The sequence below is a fragment of the Homo sapiens genome, chromosome 20 (assembly GCF_000001405.40).
Source record: "Homo sapiens chromosome 20, GRCh38.p14 Primary Assembly".
Classification (NCBI taxonomy): domain Eukaryota; kingdom Metazoa; phylum Chordata; class Mammalia; order Primates; family Hominidae; genus Homo; species Homo sapiens.
The window spans coordinates 47640312-47663649 of record NC_000020.11 but is presented as its reverse complement, the minus strand read 5'-3'; the positions used below and the strand labels follow the sequence as shown (position 1 = coordinate 47663649).

At 42.8% G+C, this 23338-nt stretch overlaps 2 protein-coding genes across 22 annotated transcripts in view, besides 6 other annotated features; one reads left to right on the top strand and one right to left on the bottom strand.

Annotated features, from left to right (window-relative positions):
- SULF2 (sulfatase 2) overlaps window positions 1–6244 on the top strand; it is a 129222-nt gene extending 122978 nt beyond the window's left edge. For 10 of the 18 annotated variants that reach the window (XM_047440296.1, XM_047440295.1, NM_001161841.2 and 7 more), the window contains 6 exons: window positions 28–197; window positions 438–580; window positions 1754–1877; window positions 3920–3953; window positions 4198–4251; window positions 5258–6244. In XM_047440296.1, coding sequence (XP_047296252.1) covers window positions 28–197; window positions 438–580; window positions 1754–1877; window positions 3920–3953; window positions 4198–4251; window positions 5258–5288 — 556 coding nt within the window. In that variant the 3' untranslated portion in view covers window positions 5289–6244. The remainder of the gene's footprint in view (window positions 1–27; window positions 198–437; window positions 581–1753; window positions 1878–3919; window positions 3954–4197; window positions 4252–5257) is intronic. The other 8 variants (NM_001387051.1, XM_047440297.1, XM_047440300.1 and 5 more) reach the window with 2 other exon arrangements.
- Window positions 395–444: an enhancer, noted in NCBI's record as "active region_18000". NCBI's record gives its function as "activates an Ori minimal core promoter by ATAC-STARR-seq in GM12878 lymphoblastoid cells {active_cell/tissue: GM12878}" and the evidence as "EXISTENCE:reporter gene assay evidence [ECO:0000049][PMID:35858748]".
- Window positions 6778–23338, bottom strand: part of NCOA3 (nuclear receptor coactivator 3) — a 154986-nt gene continuing 138425 nt past the window's right edge. For 2 of the 4 annotated variants that reach the window (NM_001174088.2, NM_006534.4), the window contains exons 17-23: window positions 21266–21437; window positions 16284–16577; window positions 14553–14645; window positions 12374–12668; window positions 11070–11244; window positions 10578–10719; window positions 6778–10244 (exon numbers count right to left, since the gene is read on the bottom strand). In NM_001174088.2, coding sequence (NP_001167559.1) covers window positions 10233–10244; window positions 10578–10719; window positions 11070–11244; window positions 12374–12668; window positions 14553–14645; window positions 16284–16577; window positions 21266–21437 — 1183 coding nt within the window. In that variant the 3' untranslated portion in view covers window positions 6778–10232. Of the gene's footprint in view, window positions 10245–10577; window positions 10720–11069; window positions 11245–12373; window positions 12669–14540; window positions 14646–16283; window positions 16578–21265; window positions 21438–23338 lie in introns of all 4 variants that reach the window. The other 2 variants (NM_181659.3, NM_001174087.2) reach the window with 2 other exon arrangements.
- Window positions 12492–12578: a repeat instability region, noted in NCBI's record as "repeat instability region; instability of the polyglutamine-encoding CAG and CAA repeats has been observed in some somatic cells". NCBI's record gives the evidence for it as "EXISTENCE:nucleotide sequencing assay evidence [ECO:0000219][PMID:14684685, PMID:16670003]".
- Window positions 12492–12579: a biological region, named in NCBI's record as "nuclear receptor coactivator 3 repeat instability region".
- Window positions 12493–12579: a tandem repeat.
- Window positions 14062–14779: an enhancer, noted in NCBI's record as "OCT4-NANOG-H3K27ac hESC enhancer chr20:46277615-46278332 (GRCh37/hg19 assembly coordinates)". NCBI's record gives its function as "activates a minimal SCP1, AML or CMV promoter by ChIP-STARR-seq in naive and primed H9 embryonic stem cells {active_cell/tissue: H9 hESC(naive and primed)}" and the evidence as "EXISTENCE:reporter gene assay evidence [ECO:0000049][PMID:30033119]".
- Window positions 14780–15497: an enhancer, noted in NCBI's record as "H3K27ac hESC enhancer chr20:46276897-46277614 (GRCh37/hg19 assembly coordinates)". NCBI's record gives its function as "activates a minimal SCP1, AML or CMV promoter by ChIP-STARR-seq in primed H9 embryonic stem cells {active_cell/tissue: H9 hESC(primed)}" and the evidence as "EXISTENCE:reporter gene assay evidence [ECO:0000049][PMID:30033119]".

Here is a 23338-nt window from a genome sequence, read left to right as displayed (position 1 = left end):
GGTGTGTGTGGCCCTCTGCGCCCATAGGAAGGGCCTGCAAGAGAAGGACAAGGTGTGGCTGTTGCGGGAGCAGAAGCGCAAGAAGAAACTCCGCAAGCTGCTCAAGCGCCTGCAGAACAACGACACGTGCAGCATGCCAGGCCTCACGTGCTTCACCCACGACAACCAGCACTGGCAGACGGCGCCTTTCTGGACACGTGAGCAAGCCCAGGGCAGGGGTGGACAGGCTGAGGCCCAGGGGTTCAAGAAACTTCTCCACTTAGTGACCCAGACCTCTCTCAGAAAGGGGGTCCCCAACACCAGGGGTCCACGGTGCTCGGGACAGCCTCTTGGCATTTGACGAACTGGTTTTAGGGGCTGTCCCTGACAGGAATCACTGTTGGCAGATGGGGCCTCCTCCCGCAGGCACTCAGGACATGCTCTCTCTTCCTTGGCAGTGGGGCCTTTCTGTGCCTGCACCAGCGCCAACAATAACACGTACTGGTGCATGAGGACCATCAATGAGACTCACAATTTCCTCTTCTGTGAATTTGCAACTGGCTTCCTAGAGTACTTTGATCTCAACACAGACCCCTACCAGGTACAGGCAACCCGAGCTAGAGGGATGGGGGTGTGGGGTACACCAGTGCTGCCAGGTAGGCCCCCCCCAACCTCAGGGAAGTGATGACAAATTGTCCAAGTCCCACTGAGTCCCTGAGCCGGTGGGAGTAAGTTGTGAAGCTGCTGAGATTGGGGGTTCTGTGTTCAATCAGCCTTTTTTGCCTCCATCACCCTGCTTTTTGCCTCCATCACCCTGCGTGTGTAATATATATGGCTTCTTCCCTCTAACTTAACATGCAGCATGCAACCAGGTTTTGCCGGAACTTGTGAAGACTCCTAACACTGTCAGGCTGTAGGATCAAGCCAAATATCACCCACTGCAGGGCCTACACGGACCGCGCAGCTAATATAACAGTAACACACTGCACCAAGCACTCTGCTAAGTGCTTCCGTACAGTAAGCCATCTAAACACACATGCGACTGAAGTGGCCCAGGACCACACAAGACCAAAAGGAGCAGTGGCATGTCTGGTCATCGGAACATGTGGGCCCTTGTACAGGGACAGTCACTACTGAGCTCCAGCACTAGAGCTTTCCTGTACTGTGGCCTTGGTATTGCCCAGGCTTTGACCTTTCAAGAAAAGCCTGAAATAATTTAAATGAAATCTGATGTTTAAATGTCAGCAGCACAAATGCTTTAATTACTATATAGGTGTGCAGTCTTTCTCCTTAGATAGGTTCACCCTCATACTTTACCAAAGGGGTAGGTTAAGTCCCTCACCGGTAGCTCCCAGACTACACAAGAACCCAGGCCACTTACCCGTCCTTTCATCAAATGGCTGCTTTGCAATCAGGAGGAGCTGAGGGCCCCTGAATGAAGGCTGCTGATAAAACCAAGACTTGGAAGGCTTTCTTTCCAAGCTTGGGAAGTTTCCTGACCAGTGGCTGCAGAACTCCAACGTTAAATACACAGACGTGGTTTTTATTCTCCTGAGTTTTCACTCTCATGAAGAGTGAACCTGGTGGGACTTGAAGCCAAAAAGTCACCTAACTCTTCCAAACGCTGGCTCTTGCAGAAGTTGGAGTAAACAGGTCACCAGCCCCTAGCACCTTCCACCCGCCACCTGCCTGAAATATGTCCCCTGGTTGGTAGAAGGGCAGGGCGAGAGTCCCTGTACTTACCTTGTTGACAGACTACCTTTTTTGCAACCAGCTGATGAATGCAGTGAACACACTGGACAGGGATGTCCTCAACCAGCTACACGTACAGCTCATGGAGCTGAGGAGCTGCAAGGGTTACAAGCAGTGTAACCCCCGGACTCGAAACATGGACCTGGGTGAGTAGGCACCCCAACGTGGGGCCCTTGGACAGCAGGGTAACCAAAGGAAGGGACTCAGGAGGTGGTGTCTACCCCAAGAATGAGCCTGAAATCACCAGGCTTTGGGAGGTGATACAGTTCCAGACGAGTCATGGGAGCCCCTGTCCATAGCAGGCAGATGACCTTTAACAAGCTGTGATTCCTGAGAGAGGAACACCTGCACCAACTGCCCAGGAAACACACGGAATTCCGTCTCATTTCATTGTCCTCCCTTTTGTCCACTCATGCATTCAACAAACACTTCCTGAGAACTTACACCTGAAACCATGTTGACTAAAGATGACCCCATCCTCGCTGACTTGTGTGGAGCCAGTGTTGTCCTAAGAAGAGCAGTCCACAGCAGGAGGCCTCTTGCTTGTATGGAAAGGGTAAAACTGGATGGTAGAATCCAGTGTGACTGGGGAAGGGCACTGCTAAATAAAACCAGGGTCAGACCTCTGAACTGAGTCCTGAAAAGTAGGATGCAATCGACCACTGAGAAAACGTGGAGGGCTGGCGCTCCAGGAAGCTTAAAGTGTGAGGAGCAGAAAGCAGCTCAGGGGGTGCAGCCAACACAACTGAGGCCAGTGGAGAGTGGCGGGAGGGCATCGGGCCACCCTGTGTGGGGCTTCCTAGGCCACGGTAGAGTTTAGATTTCATTTGTGGTGTATCAGGAAGCCAATGGAGGGTTTTAACCTGGGCACCGACATTTGCTAGGTGGAGAATGGGACTTTATGGGAGAAAACAGCGAAGATGGCCCAGTTATCCAGGGAGAAATGGTGGTGGCTTGGACTAGAGGTGGGAGCAGTAAAGATGATGGATTTCAGATTCAGGTGGTGAAGCCCCCAGACAACATGGTGATGGGAGGTGCGGGATTAGGAGTCCCAGGTAAATCCTGAGTTTTGTTTGGGACAGGACAAAATCTGCAGTTTTAAGTTTAGAATGCCAACCAGATAGATATTTTAAGATGAAAAAAGCTAAACAGGCATGGTTGCTCATGCCTATGATTCCAGGGCTTTGGAAGGCTGAGGTGGGAGGAGACTTGAGCCCAGGAGTTCAAGGTTACAGTGAGCTATGATAGCACCACTGCACTCCAGCCTGGGAGACAGAGCTGTCGCCCCATCTCTAAAAATAAAAAAAATATATTAAAAAAAGAAAACAAAGCTAAAAGAAAAATGAAGTTCACTTACTAGTGAGAGAGAGTGGCCTAAAAAAAACCTTTGGTATTTAAGGTCCCTTGGGGAAGGGACTGTGTCTAGGAGGATGCCTAGAGTTCATGTCAGGAAAATGGCTACACAGCTTAGGAGGAATTCAGACGCTACCGTCGGCTCTAGTTATGAAGAGGGAAGAGCTAATGTGTTTACACAAGATGTTGCACTAATACTTCTGGTCAGGAGCCTGATATGATCAGAATTTTCACTAGTAGCTTCCTAATCTCTGCCACTCAAGTGCTGCTACTCTTGTGATCAAAGTGCAATGACATATTAGTCACTGTGTGCCAGGCTCTGTGCTGAGCATTTTACATGTGTTAGCTGATAAGCTTTGAGGTGAATCTTATCCTCATTTTATGGAGGAGTAAGGTGAACAAGGTGGGCTGACCCCGGAGCCCACGCACTTGATCCTGCCACATCCTCGGGAAAACTTCCCCAGAGCCCAAAGGGGAACTCCCTCCTGCACTTGGTCAGGGCTCTTGGCTTTCTGTCCTCTGGAGCACAGATGTTCATGCCTGCATCTACCTCCCTCACCATAACTAAGGTCAGCGCTGAATGAAGCCATCAGGGTCCTGAAACTGATCATGGTGACACTGGATTTTAGGCAATCTACAAGGCTATCTAGGAGACTTAGGGCAGGTTCCCCTCATAATTCAGTCTACCCCTCATAATTCAGTCTACTCTGAGTAGGGAACACTATCAGCATCATGGGATTGTGACAAAAAAGCATAAGATGGTTTTCTGGTGTGTTGGGGTTGTTTTGCCTAAACTATCTGCTCCTGTTTTGTTTTTCATTTCTCCTTCATTTAGGACTTAAAGATGGAGGAAGCTATGAGCAATACAGGTATTTCGTTTTATTATTAAAGCCTAAACAAAGTTCTCCTATCTTGGCCCATCCTTCAGTCTCATCTCTGTGAGTCTGCACCTGTTATCTTGAGAAACTGCCCTTCCCTCTGGTCTGCCCGAGACCAGGATCACCCACCAAAGATAGGTGTCACCTAGGAGACCTTCTTTGTATAGTTCTTTGGGGACTTTTTCTTTCTTGGTGATGGTTAACATTCATTCTCCTTTGACACTTGAAAACTTAGGCAGTTTCAGCGTCGAAAGTGGCCAGAAATGAAGAGACCTTCTTCCAAATCACTGTGAGTTGAGGAACCAGCTTACAAATAGAAATCTGGTTCTGACCGCTTCATTTTGCCAATGCTATTCTATTTGCATGCCATTTCTTACATACCACCCTTTGTTTGTTCTCATGATGAGGGTGGGGGGGAAGTACTAATGCACATCTTTCCCTAAGAAAACACTTGAATCCATTTCATGTTTTAGATTAATGCCTTGTCCAGTACACTGCTGTTCTCGCTATAATCTGTGCTTGGTAAACTTGAGCTATTACTTAGAGGTTGAGAAGCATTTAAATATTACAAATTGCTAGGCATCTTGAAGGCTGTGGCTACAAAAGTGCTAACTGATATACAACATCAGTAGTAGGATGGCCTCATTAAATGGTTTCCAAAAAGCCCATGCTACAAACTCTCACTCCAGTGCCATTGGAGGCTGACAGGGACTAAGAGACTGGCAACCTGTAAAGTTCACCTCTATTCTAAAGGGAGCAGGCCAGTTTGCTCCCTGCAGGAATGGGCTGAGGTTCGCCAGATTTTCTCATTCGTCTACCAAATCCAAAAATGCAAGTATGTGTGAGAATTCTTTATCATTATCATCTAATTTGACATTAAGTTAACCATGTGGGCAAATTATCGCCCTTGGTGAACTGCCACTTGCAACCTCTGGTCTACTCATTTCTTCCTTTATATGCATATAAACCTGTGTGGCTTTAATAGGACATTAGTAACAGGTCACCTAAGCCTTTCTTCGGTGCTTCTAGAATTAAGGTACAGAATCTTTACATATCACAATCTCCTTAGCCACTATTCTGTCCAGATCCTTAAATGCCATCCTTGCCAGGCATTGGGTGTATAAGTAAACAAAAAATTGAGGTGACTAGGTGGTGGCAATCCCGTTCTAAGTAACCTAGAAATATTCATTCTCAGCAGCCTTGAAGCAAAGCTTCCTCAGCTATAGGACCGATTAGGAAGTCATGATAAAGACCATGATAGCTAAGTGCTAAGATGAGTTTGTTTTGTTCTTTAGGGGACAACTGTGGGAAGGCTGGGAAGGTTAAGAAACAACAGAGGTGGACCTCCAAAAACATAGAGGCATCACCTGACTGCACAGGCAATGAAAAACCATGTGGGTGATTTCCAGCAGACCTGTGGTATTGGCCAGGAGGCCTGAGAAAGCAAGCACGCACTCTCAGTCAACATGACAGATTCTGGAGGATAACCAGCAGGAGCAGAGATAACTTCAGGAAGTCCATTTTTGCCCCTGCTTTTGCTTTGGATTATACCTCACCAGCTGCACAAAATGCATTTTTTCGTATCAAAAAGTCACCACTAACCCTCCCCCAGAAGCTCACAAAGGAAAACGGAGAGAGCGAGCGAGAGAGATTTCCTTGGAAATTTCTCCCAAGGGCGAAAGTCATTGGAATTTTTAAATCATAGGGGAAAAGCAGTCCTGTTCTAAATCCTCTTATTCTTTTGGTTTGTCACAAAGAAGGAACTAAGAAGCAGGACAGAGGCAACGTGGAGAGGCTGAAAACAGTGCAGAGACGTTTGACAATGAGTCAGTAGCACAAAAGAGATGACATTTACCTAGCACTATAAACCCTGGTTGCCTCTGAAGAAACTGCCTTCATTGTATATATGTGACTATTTACATGTAATCAACATGGGAACTTTTAGGGGAACCTAATAAGAAATCCCAATTTTCAGGAGTGGTGGTGTCAATAAACGCTCTGTGGCCAGTGTAAAAGAAAATCCCTCGCAGTTGTGGACATTTCTGTTCCTGTCCAGATACCATTTCTCCTAGTATTTCTTTGTTATGTCCCAGAACTGATGTTTTTTTTTTAAGGTACTGAAAAGAAATGAAGTTGATGTATGTCCCAAGTTTTGATGAAACTGTATTTGTAAAAAAAATTTTGTAGTTTAAGTATTGTCATACAGTGTTCAAAACCCCAGCCAATGACCAGCAGTTGGTATGAAGAACCTTTGACATTTTGTAAAAGGCCATTTCTTGGGAGTTTTTTGGTGTGTCTGTTTTTTTAAAGTATTCAAGATACTACCAGTCAACATCTTTTTGGAAGAAAATGCCTTGGGTTTAGAAGATTTTCTTAAAAGGGGAGTAGATGGTTGTAGATTGACTAAAAAGTCTACCATACTTCAAGGGACTACAGGTAAGTCTCATAGTATACCAGCTTTGGTACTTCATTTTTTAAAAAAGTATTAATCAATTGCAAAGAAATTCGCCTTGGCCAACCCTTCTTTGTGTATCAGGTAGTCTAACCTGATACAAGTAGTTGACAGATTTCAACTATCAATCACCAGTCCAACCCATTTCTCATTTAACAGATGACGGAGATAATCCCTAAAAGCACCCACATTTGTTTCAATGCCCCAAACAGGCCAAGGCTCCCTAGCAACTCCCTAGTGGCGTTTTTTAACTTCTCAGAAACTGTTACCATTATTTGAAATAGGCTTCCTTAACCTCCTTTACCCTTAACCCAACAGGGATTTAAAAAAAAAAAAAAAAAAAAAAAACTCTTTAGGCTCCAATTTTAAATAGAAACCTTTATTTACAATGACATCCAAAATGGTCAGCAAAGCAGTCACAGCTCACCATCCCCCATAAGTCATTTCATGTGGTTTCAATTCTTTGCAAGATAAAGAATAATTTCTATTTTTTTAAGCAACATAATGTAAACTTGATTGAAACTGAATTCATTCTCAAGAGTATAAGTCAATTCCTGAGAATTTAAATATTGCTCTCATATTTTATTCTTCGAAACTCCATATATTAGAAAGGAAGAGAGAAAACACCCTGCTCGTTTATTAACAGTGTGCCTTGGAGTTGAAAACAATAAATCAATCCTTGAGGTTTTGCTCCTAGGAACCTAATTGTGAACAAAACTCACAGCTTCTGCAAATAAAAAGGGAACTGGGCAGGCATACATGTAACTGGCAATCCATTCTGTTTACTTTCAGCTGCACCCACCTCTGGATCAAAGAACTTCTAGGACATCAAGCCAATTATCTTCTGTAATACCCTACCCCTAATATAGATACCCCCAACTCACCTCAGATATTAAATACTGATAACTAAGTAGCACTGTTATTGATATTTACACCTTTCAATCCAGATGCAGTTTAGAAAAGTGGCATCATAATATGAACATTAACAATGTAACTTCCGTTTATTTTTTAAAGGAAGAAACATGTATCTCCTTTATATCATTCTGATCTTTATAAAATATATATATTTTATTTATATATCTTTGGATTCAGCAAAAAAAAAAAAAAAAAGTAGGTACTGGAAATATCCCACATTCTAAAAGCAGATGAAAAGATTATACTGTTCACCCAACAGATACCAAGGTTTGAAAAAATGGGGGGTGCTGGGGTGTGAGGAGAGGTAGACAGCAGGAGTACAAAGAATTACCTAAAAAAGATAAAGGGCAATACAGGTAAAAACAAATTATCTCAAAGACTGCACCTATTAAAAGAAATCTTGAGTTTGCACCAAATGAACAAGTAGAAAATATAAAAACTTATAATAAACTTCATTTTTCTACTATATAAAAAAGGGAGTGCTGCCTTCCAGTTAGCCTGGAGCCAGGTCTGAGGAAAGGATTGCAAAAAAATTTATTTTTTTTTTGTTTTTAATAATTTTTTTAAAGTCAAGAAAGATAAGAGCACCATTCTATTTCTCCCCACACACATAACTTAAAGAAGGGTCAGATACAATTGAGCTGAAAAAGAGACAGACTGACCTGGTTCTTCCTCTGTCTCCAAACAGGAGAGTATACTATCTGAAAAGCACAGGCCACTACAATGGAAGTTTTCGGATTTACAATCTTTCTTAGATATATTTTGAACTTGGTAGGGGAAAGAGGGCAAACTCATAATTGTCTATACTGCTTTGAAAATAAGATCCACTCTGGTGGTGGGTCTGGAAATAATCAGGATTCACTTACTCGTAAGCATATCAAAGATATTAAATGATCTTACCTTCAGAGACATCTAGAAAGATTGGCTAAATGTGTGAAATTCTTAAAATTAACTGGCTCTCAGTTATTGCTAGAAAATGATACCAAGGCTAGCAGAGACCTCTGAAATTCACAGACATTCAGAAACCCAATTCCGTCAACTATTTGAACCAAATGAATTAACCCAGATAAAGGGAATTAAACTTGATTTTTCCCTTCCTCCCAACTGACTAAAACAGGTGTCAAAGAGAGGCAACAGCAGAAAAGTGGTAGGGGGCAGAAGAGGGAGGGGTTTAAAAGGTGCTCAGTTAGACTGTGGCTCTGAATCACAGTAAAACTGGCTGTTCTGGGTACTGAGTTACTTAAGAAATAACTGACACTATTCTAATCCACAGGGACATAATGAAAGCATCACATTAGTAGAATGAGGGGACAGCTGAGCAGACACCAGAAACCACACCAAGGATTCTACTCGAGATCTCAATATGGGATTCAGGTCTTAGCAACCAAAATCTGAAAACGCTCCTAAAGGGGATGAAAAGGTAACATAATTAAACATACACACACACACACACACATACACACACACACACAGCCCATGAATTGCTATTATTTCGGACTGCTTAAAATCCAAAAGATTCTCTTCAAATTGCTCGTTTTTTTAAATTCCTGATTTTTTTTTAAGTTTATTTCCCCATATCTATTCTTTCCCCCCAAATTAACAAAGTGCTTAGTTCTGGTAGAGGAATTTTTAAAAAATTAAAATGCCTACATCTAAACAAATAATCTCTTTAAAAAGCATTTAGATTAAGAGATTGAAAAGAGCGAGGCATCTAAGGCTGGGGGGTGGGGAAGGAAAAGCTGTGGAGCACTACCCCTCCCCCAGGCCACAAAAGTCAAGGGATGTCTCTTCCACTGGTAGCCTCACCACACAGCTTACTGAAATCAACAATGTTAAATATTTAGCTTCACAAACTCTGTAAAAATGAGTTGTTGTGACCTACAAAAAAAGGTATATACATATTTTACATAATACAATATCTTAAAGGTCATATTTACAAAAAAATCTATTCACAGAAACACTGCGAGATTCTGATTCAGAATGCAGTACCTGGCCTTGGGTTTTCAGAAGTTTATTTTTAAAAAGCATTATTGCTCTACCATATAGGCAAAGGGTGACACCAGTACTTTAAAAAAAAAAATCATAGTTCTTGTCTAACACGTAAGTGTAGGCAAAAACCAGGAATGTGTTTCACTATTCCCTCAAGACCTCAAGAATATTGCATTTATCCATTCTTTTTAAATAAAGTGCACTCAGCTGCACATTAGCATGTGAAAAGTTTGCTACTGCTGCGATTAAATACTGTCATCTCATTTCCTTTCTGCAAAGCCATTTGGACATCCATGACAGTTCCTGGAGGTGAAGTATTACAGGACATGAATGGCAAATGAAAACCTTCATTAGGAGAAAGCCTAGGGCAAATAATAGGGACAGAGCAACTCAACACCATTAGTAAAGGACAATTCAGAATCACCAATTCCACTGGACAAAGGGTCAACACAGAACTACTACACCTGAAGGCTGGGACTATGCTCTTTGTCCAATACTGCAACTAGAGAAACCAGATATTCTAATCTCTCTTGATTCTTCCAATGTTCTCTGGCCCACCTACGTGTATTTAAGAGATTTTGGCTAGCAAGGCAGAAAAAAGTGACACAAAAGTTTTATGATCAGTAACACTCCATGTCTCCAGAATTATATCCCTAGGAGGTGGAATGCCAAAAAACATTTCTGTTTTGAACACCATGATACACAGCAGAAGGAGGGGGGAAAAACACGTAGATATTGCCCTTCGGCTTAAAATCCAGTCCTGCTCAAATGACATCACTTAAAATACCCTTGATGGAGCTCAAAGCTGGTCCTTTCTTCCAAGATGGATGCCTGGAACAATGATTCCTTCCCAATAATCCTAGTGCAGTGTCATTTGTACAGTGGTTTCCTTAAGAGGTCCTGGTGCAGAGATGTCAGCAGTATTTCTGTCAGCAACCAGGAAAAAAAAAAAAAAAAAAAAAATGAGTAAAACACATGCTTTGCACAACAAAAAAATACCCATGTCCACATTCATGGCTTACAGTGCAGCTCTGGCTGAGTGATTCAGGTTCCTGAGATCCCATCTTACAATGCAGCTCTGGCTTACCAAAAGTATCTAATGGCCCAATGCCTTCAAACCAAGTTTTTTCAATTACTATATTTTAAGTTATACATTCAAGTTAAAATATACCTAGGACATTCTGATTATAGCCTAGGCTTTAGTTCTATCCAGAGAACAAGAAAAACTTTTTGAAAAAGGTAAGGAATCGATCCCATACCTGATCAGGACCCATAGGCATGCCAGACATGGGCATGGGGTTCATGTTCATCTGTCCCATGTGACCACTGCTGCCATTCATGTGCACCATACTATACACTGCAGGATTCCCCTGGTGGGCAAACTGCTGCTGGGAAAAGGAGCTGTAAGTAAACAAATGGTAATATTACCTCTGGAAGTCACTTTAGCGACAAAGGGCATGCCCACAGAAATTACTACAATTGTGTCAAACATTGCTATACTTAAGCTGGGAATGTTAGAGAAAACTCCCTGACAGCCTGTGATCCATTTTTCACAGCTTTCTGTACTAGACACCCTAATAGATATGTGCGTGCTTGAAGGACTCTCAAAATGGACAAGCCAAATCACACCTTCTAATATGAACCCAGTCCTTTCAACCTCTCCATCCAAAAAGGCTTGACTGAAAAATACATTAAGTTCTTGGACTTCTGGGACTAGGATGTGACTAACTTTATAAGTCACTGTTCTTTACCTGTTCCTGGCCAAATTTCCTGATGGCCAGCCCTTCATTTCTGAGGACTGATAGATGGATGCAGCCTGCGGGTGTTGCATCATGGGATTCTGGGAGGGACCCATTCTTGACGACATCATTGCATTGGGAGGACTAGACACTCGACCAAAGGCTGGATCTGGTTGTTGTCCCATTCCTTACAAAAATAAAACAGAAGAAATAAAAATGCCCAAATGCCTTCTCCTTAGAATATCAGATTTCTGTAGTAATTTTGTTTTTTTTTTAAAGGAGGTGGGGGTGGAGGGAAGTGATAAGTGTAAGATACAGAGTGCTATAAGATGCTGCCCCCCCAGGTATTCTAGATTCTCACCAAGATGACGACTAGAGTAACAGGCTTACTACAGAAAGGAGCACCATCTGGATCACTGAAAGATCAGTTGCTTTAATGGGTTTCCTGTAGAAAAGGGACTCCGTATCACTCAACTCACATCACTCCATCCTTCTTTAAAGGGCAGGGGAGTTATAATCCTCAGATGACAGGGCTCCCCAATAGACACCTTTATTCCCACCATGTTCCTGGAACCTCTCAAAGGCTGAAATGAAGAGGTATCTGCATCACTGTAATAATAAATCCAGGGCCGGGCACGGTGACTCACGCCTGTAATCCCAGCACTTTGGGAGGCCGATGCAGGCAGATCACGAGGTCAGGAGATCGAGACCATCCTGGCTAACACAGTGAAACCCCGTCTCTATTAAAAATTTAAAAAAAAAAACAGCCGGGGGTGGTGGAATGCACCTGTAGTCCCAGCTACTCAGGGCTGAGGCAGGAGAATCACTTGAACCCGGGAGGCAGAGGTTGCAGTGAGCCAAGATCGCACCACTGCACTCCAACCTGGGTGACAGAGCAAGACCCCCATCTCAAAAAAAAAATAATAAATCCAAGTCACCAAGAAAATCAACTTAAAAGCCCACAAAGTGCATTCCTCTCACTGACTTGACCAAGCATTCAGAGATTAGAGAGTTCTACTATACTGGAACATACAAGAAGGGGCAAGGGGACAACTTTGCAGTGTTTCTTCCAGAGTTTGGGGACTCTTAATGAGTGGGACTGAAAAAAATATTCAACTATGACAGGATACACCTGTCTCAATTACCTGTGTGCTGCAGCATTTTTGTTTTCCAATCATTTAAATTAATTTGGTTTTCCTTGTGAAGTAAAGAGGGAGTGAATCGTGTTTTTGTCTTTCATGTGCAATAAATGTAATGAAGCTTATGTCCTTAGTAATGTTAACTTGGGGAAGGCACATTTTCATTGTCAGATTTACCATAATTTGGTTGATATGGAAACTGTTGCGGAGGAGCTTGTGGCATTGTGGGTCCTGCCAAAAGCCCATCCATGCTGGGGGAAGCAGTCACATTAGGAGGTGGGCTGAAGGCCTGGGTTTGCTGCTGTTGCTGCTGTTGCTGTTGCTGTTGCTGTTGCTGCTGCTGCTGCTGCTGCTGCTGCTGTTGCTGCTGCTGCTGCTGCTGCATCATCATAGCCACCCTCTGTTGTCGGAAGTGATGACTTAGCAGCTCTCTGCTGCGTTGGGCGACCATTTGAGCATTAAGAAAACCCTGCTAATACCCAAGAAAGAGTGCAATTACATATATATAGCAAGAACCTGCCAGTTGCATACATATAGTACCCCCACAATACACCAGGTATAAGACAGAAAACACCCAGGGCCTTCTTTTTTTTAACAGGGTCTCACTCTGTCGCCCAGGCTGGAGCGCAGTGGCACAATCTCGCCTCACAGCAACCTTCGTCTCCCAGGTTCAAGTGAGTCTTCTGCCTCAGCCTCCCAAGTAGCTGGGATTACAGGCGTGCACCACCACTCTGGCTAATTTTTGTATTTTTAGTAGAGATAGTGCTTCACCATGTTAGCCAGGCTGGTCTCAAACTCCTAACCTCAGGTGATCCGCCCACCTCGGCCTCCCGAAGTGCTTAAATTACAGGTGTGAGCCACTGTGCCGGCCAAAACATACAATTCTTCACATAAAAGCTTTCTGACCTGGTGCAGTGGCTTACGCCTGTAATCCCAGCACTTTGGGAGGCCAAGGTGGGCGGATCACTTGAGGTCAGGAGTTCGAGACCAGCCTGGCCAAAATGGTGAAACCCTGTCTCTACTAAAAATACCAAAACTAGCCAGCCTTGGTGATGAGCACCTGTAATCCCAGCTACTCAGGAGGCTGAGGCAGGAAAATCCCTTAAACCCAGGGAATTGACGCTGCAGTGAGCCGAGATCGTGCCACTGTACTCCAGCCTGGGCAACAGTGACTCTCAAAAAAAAAAAAAAAAAGCTTTCTGGCTATTGCAAGGGGAGGGAGGGAGAACTGAAGAAGAGGGACCTGAAAATTATTTGGGGTTAAAAGACAAAAGACAACACACTGTCAAGCTTTAACATGACTAGAAACATTCCACAAAGTAAGAAAACATTTAGGGGTGGAATCTGAGGACAAATTTTTCAGGAACTATGAAAGACAATTACAGGAAAATGAGGATTCAGTGTGTTGGGGTGGTGGAGGGCTGAAACATGAAGCCAAAAAAAATAAGATGGGGTTATACTCAGATAAGCAGGGGTCCACCTCAGAAAATCTTGAACTTTCTTTAAACTTTCAGAAAGAGGTAAGGGGCAAGCAGAAGCTATCTGGAGGTTCAGAAGGTGACATAACTGAAGTACAACAAGGAAGCTGATTTCAGCTCTACTAGCTACGGGTCATCTCCAAAAAGCAAGCTTTTATCATCTTTCTGTAGGACATTCTAGCTCAGCTTCCACAAGATGTTTTATTATCAAGAAAATGTAAATATCAGTACTTCCAAGTAGGCATAAGACAATAAAAATCGAGCATTTCACAGTTGCTTTTTAAAAAACAATTATAAACGATATTTCAAATCACAATAGAGGATTGCTGTGTGGTCATCTGCCTCATGCACATTAAAAAAACCCCTCAATACTGTCTCCACCACTGGCTGGAAGTAGAAGGGAATTTTAATATCCCCTCCTACTACAAGAAACAGGTCATCTCAGAGGCTATCACTGAGAACAGGATTATGTATTCTTTATTTTCTTCTTTATAATTTCAGAATTTTACCCAGTGTGCATGTTGTTTCATAATCCAGGAACAGAGGAACATTTACAGATTTATTAAATTCCTAAACAGCCAAGTGATAGCTGTTCTCACAGTACAGCAACTGATCACAAAGGGAACCAATTAAAAAAACACTAATCGATGGTTTTAATGAAGAAAGCTCTCCCTCCTCTGATTCCTCCCAGTCACCAGCCAGAGAGAAGAATGGAAGAGTCGAAAGTCTTTAATGCGACTGCTTTCTTACACAAGAAATTCAGAATTACCTTCATTTGTTTAACAAACATTTACTGAGAGCCAACCACAGGCCAAGCCCTGTCCTGAGCACAGAGCAATGCATGTGGAGAGGCTTATCATCCTCACCTGGGAGCTCACCTGGGGCTGCATCATAGGCCTCATCACCGCAGCACCACCAGCAGTAGGGTTTTCCATTTTCAATTCAAGTGCCTGTCGGCTCTGATTCAAAAACTGAGGTGAGACAAGTTGGTTAGAATGCAAGCAGAGCACGTCAGTCTGCCAAAACAGCTTTCCAGACCCTCAGCACCAGCCAATGAGGTAATATCTCCAAACACAATAACCTGGCTAAGTCACGTCTAAACTGAACCAGTACTTTCACACTGCAAAAAGGTCAATGTTGAAAAGTCTTTGGCTAGCATATGATGGGCTACTGTTTGGCACTGGGGAAAAAAAAGTAAAGTGCAATTTTGCAGCTTAAAGAATATCTTCACACCTGTAATCCCAGCACTTTGAGAGGCTGAGGTGGGCAGATCACTTGAGCCCAAGAGTCTGAGATCAGTCTGGGCAACATGAAGAAACCCCATCTCTACAAAAAATTAGCCAAGAGTGGTGGCACACTCCTGTAGTCCCAGCTACCTGGGAGGCTGAGGTGGAATGATCACCTGAGCCTGGGAGGTCGAGGCTGCAGTGGGCTGTGACTGCACCACTGCATTCCATCCTGAAACCCTGTATCAGAAAAAATAATAATAAATAAATAAATTTTATATATATATACACACACACAATAGAAACTCAAAAGATTTATAGTCAGGCTTTCTCTGGGATTATTCGGGCACATGGGGAAATACCTTTAAGTTGATCAGAGGAATTCTGAATAAACTCCATTAGCTTTCCCTAAATGACTTTTAGTGAAGAAACGGCAGAAAGTAAAATGAATACAGTAACACAGCTTTTCTGAGTACCTAAACTGACTTTTAACAATATTTATGCAATGGAGTCTCTGGCTCTTTGGATTCCAAACTCAGGCATTTGGCCGCACACGGTGGCTCACACCTGTAATCCCAGCACTTTGGAAGGTCAAGGCAGGAGGATCACCTGAGGTCAGGAGTTCAAGACGGGCCTGGCCAACATGGTGAAACCCTGTCTCTACTAAAAATACAAAAACTAGCCGGGCTTGCGTGGCTCCCCAGCTACTCGGGAGGCTGAGGCATGAGAATCACCTGAACCCAGAAGGTGGAGGTTGCAGTAAGCCAAGATCATGCCACTGCACTCCAGCCTGGGCGACAGAGCAAGACTCCACCTCAAAAAAAAAAAAACAAAACAAAACAAACAAACAAACAAAAAAAAAACCTCAGGCATTCATCTACTTATATGGTTTGAAGACATAAACAATAAAAACAATTGAATTTTAAAACATTTCTTGGGGACTAAGAAAACAATAGGGTAAACAGAAGTCATATTTTAGAATATTAAAAGACAACTCTAGTTTTATAAAACATCTAGAAAGAAGAGTTCCATTAAAAATGCTGAAATCAAGAAGGTTTAAGTATTTGGTTATTAGCAGTAAGGATTTTTTTCAAAAAAAACCTTATCTACCTTTAAGACTACAAAGTCATCAAGTAACATTTTTCTTCCCCAAGAGCAATCCTTCCTGACATTTTTTTACTTTTTACCTGTAAAATAGAATATTCTCATAAAACTACTCCTTAACAAGGAGCCATTTGTACAAATAAAACCTTACACAGAAGTAAAACAAAAAGAATTTCTTTAGTTGACAGGGATAGATTGCACCAGTGGTAAGAACACTGAGAAACATAGTCTGAAAACAACAGAAGGAGAAGCCAGAGGGAAGAACACATGACTGGTTACCTGCTGGCCCTGCAGCCTCTGCTGAAGCTGCATTCTAAGTTGCTTGGGGGTGTTTGTCCGGGGTCTCATGATGTTGGCTCGTGGGTGCATTCCTTGGAGAGGAAAATTGCCTTGCTGGTTCATCTGATTCATCATAGAGTTAAAAGATGGTGATTGTCCCTGAAGATGAAAGCCTCCTTGCATTGGAGGCCCCTGTGCTGGGTATGTCTGTCCATATAATCCTGCCTTCTGATCCATCATTACTGCTGCTTCTTGGCCTTGGAAAGCATCCTGTTTGGGCTCTAATGCCTGTCCCTTAAACACAACACATAAAAGAACAGTGAAGAACATCTATGAAAGCAACAGAAGTCAAATGCTCTAAAGAAAGTGCAAAAAACATCCAGTCATTCAACAAGTATTTAAGTAAATGCTTGTTATGTGCCAGGCATCACTTCTCTACATGCTAAGGATACATTCAAAATAACATCCCACAGGTGACAGAAAAAGAAGTAAAAGTTGATATTCTGAAGAAGAGAACAACCTGCTGTGCTAAGACAAGAACCAGGTGTACTGTGCATTCACCTTTATTTTCTCATCCACAGGCACTGAATGCCAAGCATGCAGCCAGCATGCTTGACATGTCTCTCTTGAAGCATACTTCACCCCACTGTACTTCGCAACACTTCTCATTTTTCTCCCATCTCTCTGGCCTTTCCTTGAATGAATGCTAACTGTTCATCAGGGTTCAGTCCTAGGCTCTCTTATTTTCTCTTGATATATTTTCTACTTAGGTGCTCTCATCCGCTGGTGATAATGATCACATTTTTGTCTCCAGCCAAAACATCTCTGAACTTTTGGTTTTGTTTATGGAAATGCCTACTTAACATCCGCACCCTGATGTCTCAGGTATCTCAAACTTAACAGGCAGAAAACAGACACCATGATTCCCAACAGCCCTTCCCCCCAAGCAGGCTTGTTCTCCTCCAACCTACCCTACTATATCACAATACAGTTGGCCCTCCATATCCATGGTTCCACACTCATGGATTCAACCAACAGGGGACTGAAAACATTCCAGGGGAAGGAAACGGTAGCTGTACCTGACTGAATACACACAGTCATCATTCTTCTTATAATAATTCCCTAAACAATACAGTGTAACAACTATATAATATACATAACATTTACATTGTATTAGGTATTATAAGTAATGTAGAGCTGATTTAAACTATGTGGGAGGATGTGCATAGGCTATATGCAAATACTAGACTGTTTTATATAAGGGACTTGAGCATCCATGGATTTTGGTATCCACAGGGGTCCTGAAACCAACCCCTCACAGATGTCAAATGGTGACGGTACACAGCATCACCATTCACTGCCCAGGAACCAAAACCCAGCAATTTGATTCTTCACATTCTCCCTTTCCAAGAGTAAACACGTGTGACCACCAAGTCCTGTCAATTTTTCCTCCAGGGCATATCATGTATCCCTCCCTTCTTTCCATTTCACCCTTATGACCCTTCCCAGGACACCTCTTGGACTGTTACCATAGTAACTGGAAACTATGTTTCTATTTTGTCCCATCAACTTGGGTTCATGTGATCCTCCCACCTCAGCCTCCCCAGTAGCTGGGACTACAGGCACACACCATCATGCCTGGCTGAAGATGTCTTAATAAAGCAAACTATACTTTAAGTTAAACATGGCAGACTGATCATGCATGCTTACCTGCATTCACTTGCTAACCCTACTAAAATGACAATAAAGGGAACTAAGAGGTATCCAGTTTATTTAAAAAAAAAATACTTAAAAGGTAGTATTTATCCATAAAACACTAATAACGCAACAAGATCAAGTATTTCCATATTTATAATAGAAGATACAAAGTGAATAGAGAAGTAGGAACCAGCTCAACAGAACAGAAAAACTTAGACTTATGTGCCCACAGAGGAAAAATACATATGAAAAACAAGCAAATGTATTCCACAGATCTATTGAGACTCCAGTGAGGGTGGTAGGGGATCAGAGCATGGTGCTGAAATGAGGAGGTTGGTTAGGAGTCTGAGTATAGAGCAGGAGGTCAACTACCTCCCTGCCTGCTCCCTGACTCCCGAAAGGCCTGTACCTTCTACCTACCCGACAAAGGTACAGGGGTTCAGGGGCACCAAGCAGAGCCTAAGAAAGGAGTGAGGCAGAGGCTGAAAACAGGAAATTTTATATTTAGCATATTTATAATTTAAATAAAATTTTATATTTTATAATTTAATATCCCACACTTGCCTCCCTAGCCCAGCTCCCAAAATGCAACCAGGTAATAAAAGATTACCAGATGGCAGGAGTGGTAGTGGTGGTTGAAAACAACTCTACATGTGGAAATTTGGGGAGTCCTGGCCAGGCGCGGTGGCTCACACCTGTAATCTCAGCACTTTGGGAGGCCGAGGCAGGTGGATCACGAGGTCAGGAGTTCGAGACCAGCCTGGCCAATATGGTGAAACCCCGTCTTTACTAAAAATACAAAAAAAAGCCGGGCGTGGTGGCGTGCGCCTGTAGTCCCAGCTACTCAGGAGGTTGAGGCAGGAGAATCGCTTGAACACAGGAGGTGGAGGTTGCAGTGAGCCGAGATCACGCTTCTGCACTCCAGCCTGGGCGATAGGGAGAGACTCCGTCTCAAAAATAAATAAATAAAAATTTGGGGAGTCCTGAAATAAAAGGGCTAGGGCTAGTTCCCCACTTAATTACCCTCAGTAAAGACAACTGATGCTGCTCACACTTGCAAAGTGTCAAATCAGCTTCTTAATGTCTCACTCTTAACATATAAGAACAGTCAGGGATCACCAGATACTTGATAAAAGCGTCCAACACTTTCCAAGCTTGAACGTGACTCAAGCAAATCAAAGACAAGAAAAATAGAGAAGACTTCAAAATATAGAATGAAGGGCCAGGCGCGGTGGCTCACGCCTGTAATCCCAGCCTGTAATCCCACTTTGGGAGGCTGAGGTGGGTGGATCATGAGGTCAGGGGATCGAGACCATCCTCGCTAACACGGTGAAACCCCGTCTCTACTAAAAATACAAAAAATTAGCCAGGTGTGGTGGCGGGCACCTGTAGTCCCAGCTACTCGGGAGGCTGAGGCAGGAGAATGGCTTGAACCCAGGAGGTGGAGCTTGCAGTGAGCCAAGATCACGCCACTGCACTCCAGCCTGGGCGACAGAGCGAGACTCCGTCTCAAAAAAAAAAAAATAGAACGAATTTAATGCCCAACATGTCAACAGAAATCCCAGAAAAGTAGGTCAGAAAAAAAAACACAGGAGAGATAAGGTTAATAAAGAAATTATACAAGAAAACACCCCTAAACCAAAGGGAATATCAGTGTATCTAGTACACAGCAGAATGAATGAAAAAAGACCCATACCAAGATACAGCATCATAAAATTTCGGAGAGAAAAAGTTCCTAAATCATTCCAAAGAGAATAAACGGGTCACATGCAAATGAATCAAAATCAGAAAGAAATACAACTCAGTGGCCACACTAGATGCCAGAAAACTATGGCAGAAATCTTTCAAAAGTATATAATTATTTTAAACCTAGAATGTAATACATAGCCAGACATGTAGGAGGGTGGAATAAAGATATTTTCAGACACATAGAACCCAAAACATTTTATTTCATGCAGTAGGGATGAAGAAGTTAATAGAAGTTGTGTTGCAGCAAAACAAAGGAGTAAATCAAGACAGAAAGCGATTTGAGATTCAGGATACTAGGAGTCCAACACAGGGGAATAGTGACAATTATTAATTTCTAGACTTGCCTCACAAGGACACAGTAAAACAGAGAGAACTACAGGAGGGAAGGAAGGAATTGATGGGTTATTTAGTGTGCCTGAACAAGTAAAGAAATAAAAAAGAACTTCTATACTTCTGTTGGAGTATAAAATATGGCTCCTCAGTGCCAAGGTTCTATGTCACTGGTATCCCTGAAGGTGTACACAAGGACTGCTCAGCGTTTCCCATCTGCACTGTGACAGCATTTGCCACATGGCAGTGTACTTCCATATGTACACATCTATTTCCCCAACAACAACTGACAGCCCCTGATGATCTTTCCTGCTTACTGTTGAACGCACAAACCTATACAGTGGCCCCTCCATAGCCTTTAAATAAAAACAGTCATGGCTGGGCACGGTGGCTCACGCCTGTAATCCCAGCACTTTGGGAGGCCAAGGCGAGTGGATCACTTGAGGTCAGAAGTTTGAGACCAGCCTGGCCAACATGGCAAAATCTCATCTCTACTAAAAATACAAAAGAAATTACCCGGGCGTGGTGGCGGGTGCCTGTAATCACAGCTACTCGCGAGGCTAAGGCAGGAGAATCACTTGAACCCTGGAGGTGGAGGTTGCAGTGAGATGAAATTGTGCCACTGCACTCCAGCCTGGTTGACAGAGCGAGACTCCGATTCAAAAAAGAAAAAACAGTCACTACAGAATGTGTCTTTCAGAAATACAGATTTGTGAATGGCATGTTTTCATAAGGCGGGGTATGTAAACAGGAACAGGACACCATGATGTTAGGATGTTCAGCTTGGCCATTGTAAACAAGTTTTGTTTAAACAAACAAGCAAAAAAAAAGCTTGCCTCAGAATACACACGGCTTGGCTAAGTAGTAGAGAAAGATAGTTATAAAAATGAGAACTGTTAACATGAATAAAAGGTCACATTTTTAAGAACAGTACAGTAGCTTAACTAAATCATTTCTACAATTGCCAAAAATAGTGGGTTGTTGAAAGTAATATCGCAATCGTAAGTATATTTTCTATTTTAACATACGAATTGAGACCAAAAAAGGATATTTTCCAAATTTAATGCTGGTATCCATGAATGTAGTGATATAACACAAGTACTAGGAGAGACACACACAGGCATTCTTGTATGTGGCTTCATGAATGTGTACGCGCGCACACACACAAATATACACTCTCCTACTTCCATGTTAATGCAACCTACCTGATTGACAAGTTCAGGAATGCCCAAAGCTCTGTCAATTTCTTCCAGGCCTGTGGCATCTGTGTTGCTGAGAAGAGTGTGCAGCTGGTCCAATAATGCTCTTTCGTCACTCTGGCCTTCCAGGTTGGAAGGTGGCCCAACAAGATCATCCAGGGAATTCCTAAGAAGAGGCCTAGAAAAAGACTTGCAATCAATGTCAATGGTGCTTTTTTTTTTTCTAAGAGTAATAGATCACAGCAACCATGCATAGTATTTTTAATGAACAGTAACTCAAATGCTACAAACACAAATAATAAACCAAGTGGTAAAAAAGAGTGAATGGCATCAATTTAAGTTTAAGGCCCACAATTTAGAAATTTCACCAGGCCACTTTAGACCACCATATACAGCTTAAACCCCCAATCCCAACACCAAATTGTAATTGCCAAACCCTAGGCATTTGGGGTATAGCAGAAATGGGGGCCAGGGGGAGGGTAGGGAAGGATGGGAGAAGATACTCCTCACAAAAACAGTGAAGGAGGTAATAATTATAATACTTGAAAATTAGAGAAATCAAAAGAATAAAAGGAAGGATACAAATGTTGAGCTATGGCCAGGCGCAGTGGCTCAAGCCTGTAATCCCAGCACTTTGGGAGGCCGAGGCGGGCGGATCACGAGGTCAGGAGATCGAGACCATCCTGTGAATGGTGAAACCCCGTCTCTACTAAAAATACAAAAAATCAGCCAGGCGTGGTGGTGAGCGCCTGTAGCCCCAGCTAGTCGGGAGGCTGAGGCGGGAATGGCATGAACCCAGGAGGCGGAGCTTGCAGTGATCCGAGATTGCGCCACTGCACTCCAGGCTGGGAGAGAGAGCAAGACTTTGTCTCAAAAAAAAAAAAAAAAAAAAAAAAAAAAGAAGGGAGCCAGGCGTGGTGGCTGACACCTGTAATCCCAGAACTTTGGGAGGTAGAGGTGGGCAGATTGCTTGAGCCCAGGAGATCCTTGAGCCGAGATTGCACCACTGCACTCCAGCCTGGGCGACAGAGCCAGATTCCGTCTCAAAAAAAAAAAAAAAAAAAAAGAAATGTTGAGCTATCACTGACGTGAGTCTGGAGAAATACCAAAATGACTTTGTCACACTTGGCCCACAGAGCTCATATTGGCAAGTGTAACACAAACCCCATACACCCACAGCAAGTTGCCTCAGTTCTCCAACACATACAAGGGCATGAAGTTAAACATTTATCCTGCCTCAGAAAAGTTCTGTTAACTTGAAACTATTTGCTCTCTATTGAGTAGAGAAGCATTCAAATAAATTCATATAGAGTAGAGAAGCACTCAAATAAATTCATATAGTTACATCACTGTCTGCTCAATAGATCAGTTCATTTTTATTTTCCTTGCTTAACTTACTGTAGAATTCCTGTTAGAGCTGACATTGACCATGGCCTCTTGCATGCAAGTAAATTACTAAGCTAAATAAAAATTAAATACAATCTACAATTTTTTTTTTTTTTAGAGACGGAGTCTCACTCTGTTGCCCAGGCTGGGGTGCAGTGGCATAATCTCAGCTCACTGCAAGCTCCGCCACCCGGGTTCACGCCATTCTCCTTCCTCAGCCTCCTGAGTAGCTGGGACTACAGGCACACACCACCACACCCGGCTAATTTTTTTTTTTTTTTTTTTTTAGTAGAGACAGGGGTTTCACCTTGTTAGCCAGGATAGTCTCGATCTCCTGACCTTGTGATCTGCCCGCCTCGGCCTCCCAAAGTGCTGGGATTACAGGCGTGAGCCACCACACCGGGCCTACAATCTTTATTTTATGAAAAATTTTAAAGATGCTATATAGTTATTTCACTATCATCACTGAAATGTTTAAAATAATTTTAGAAAACAATTAGCCAATCCTTAAAAGAATTTTCTCAATAGGCAGCAGGTGGTTGGGGGAAAAGAAAAGTTTTTTTAAAAAAGTTTAATTTTCTGGAAAACTGAGGCTAACCCTCTGAAGAACATTTATAAAACCACTAGAAACATGTACTTATCTTTTTTCCCCTCCTCATGGGACTAGAGAGACAATCATCTCACAGAGAGGCT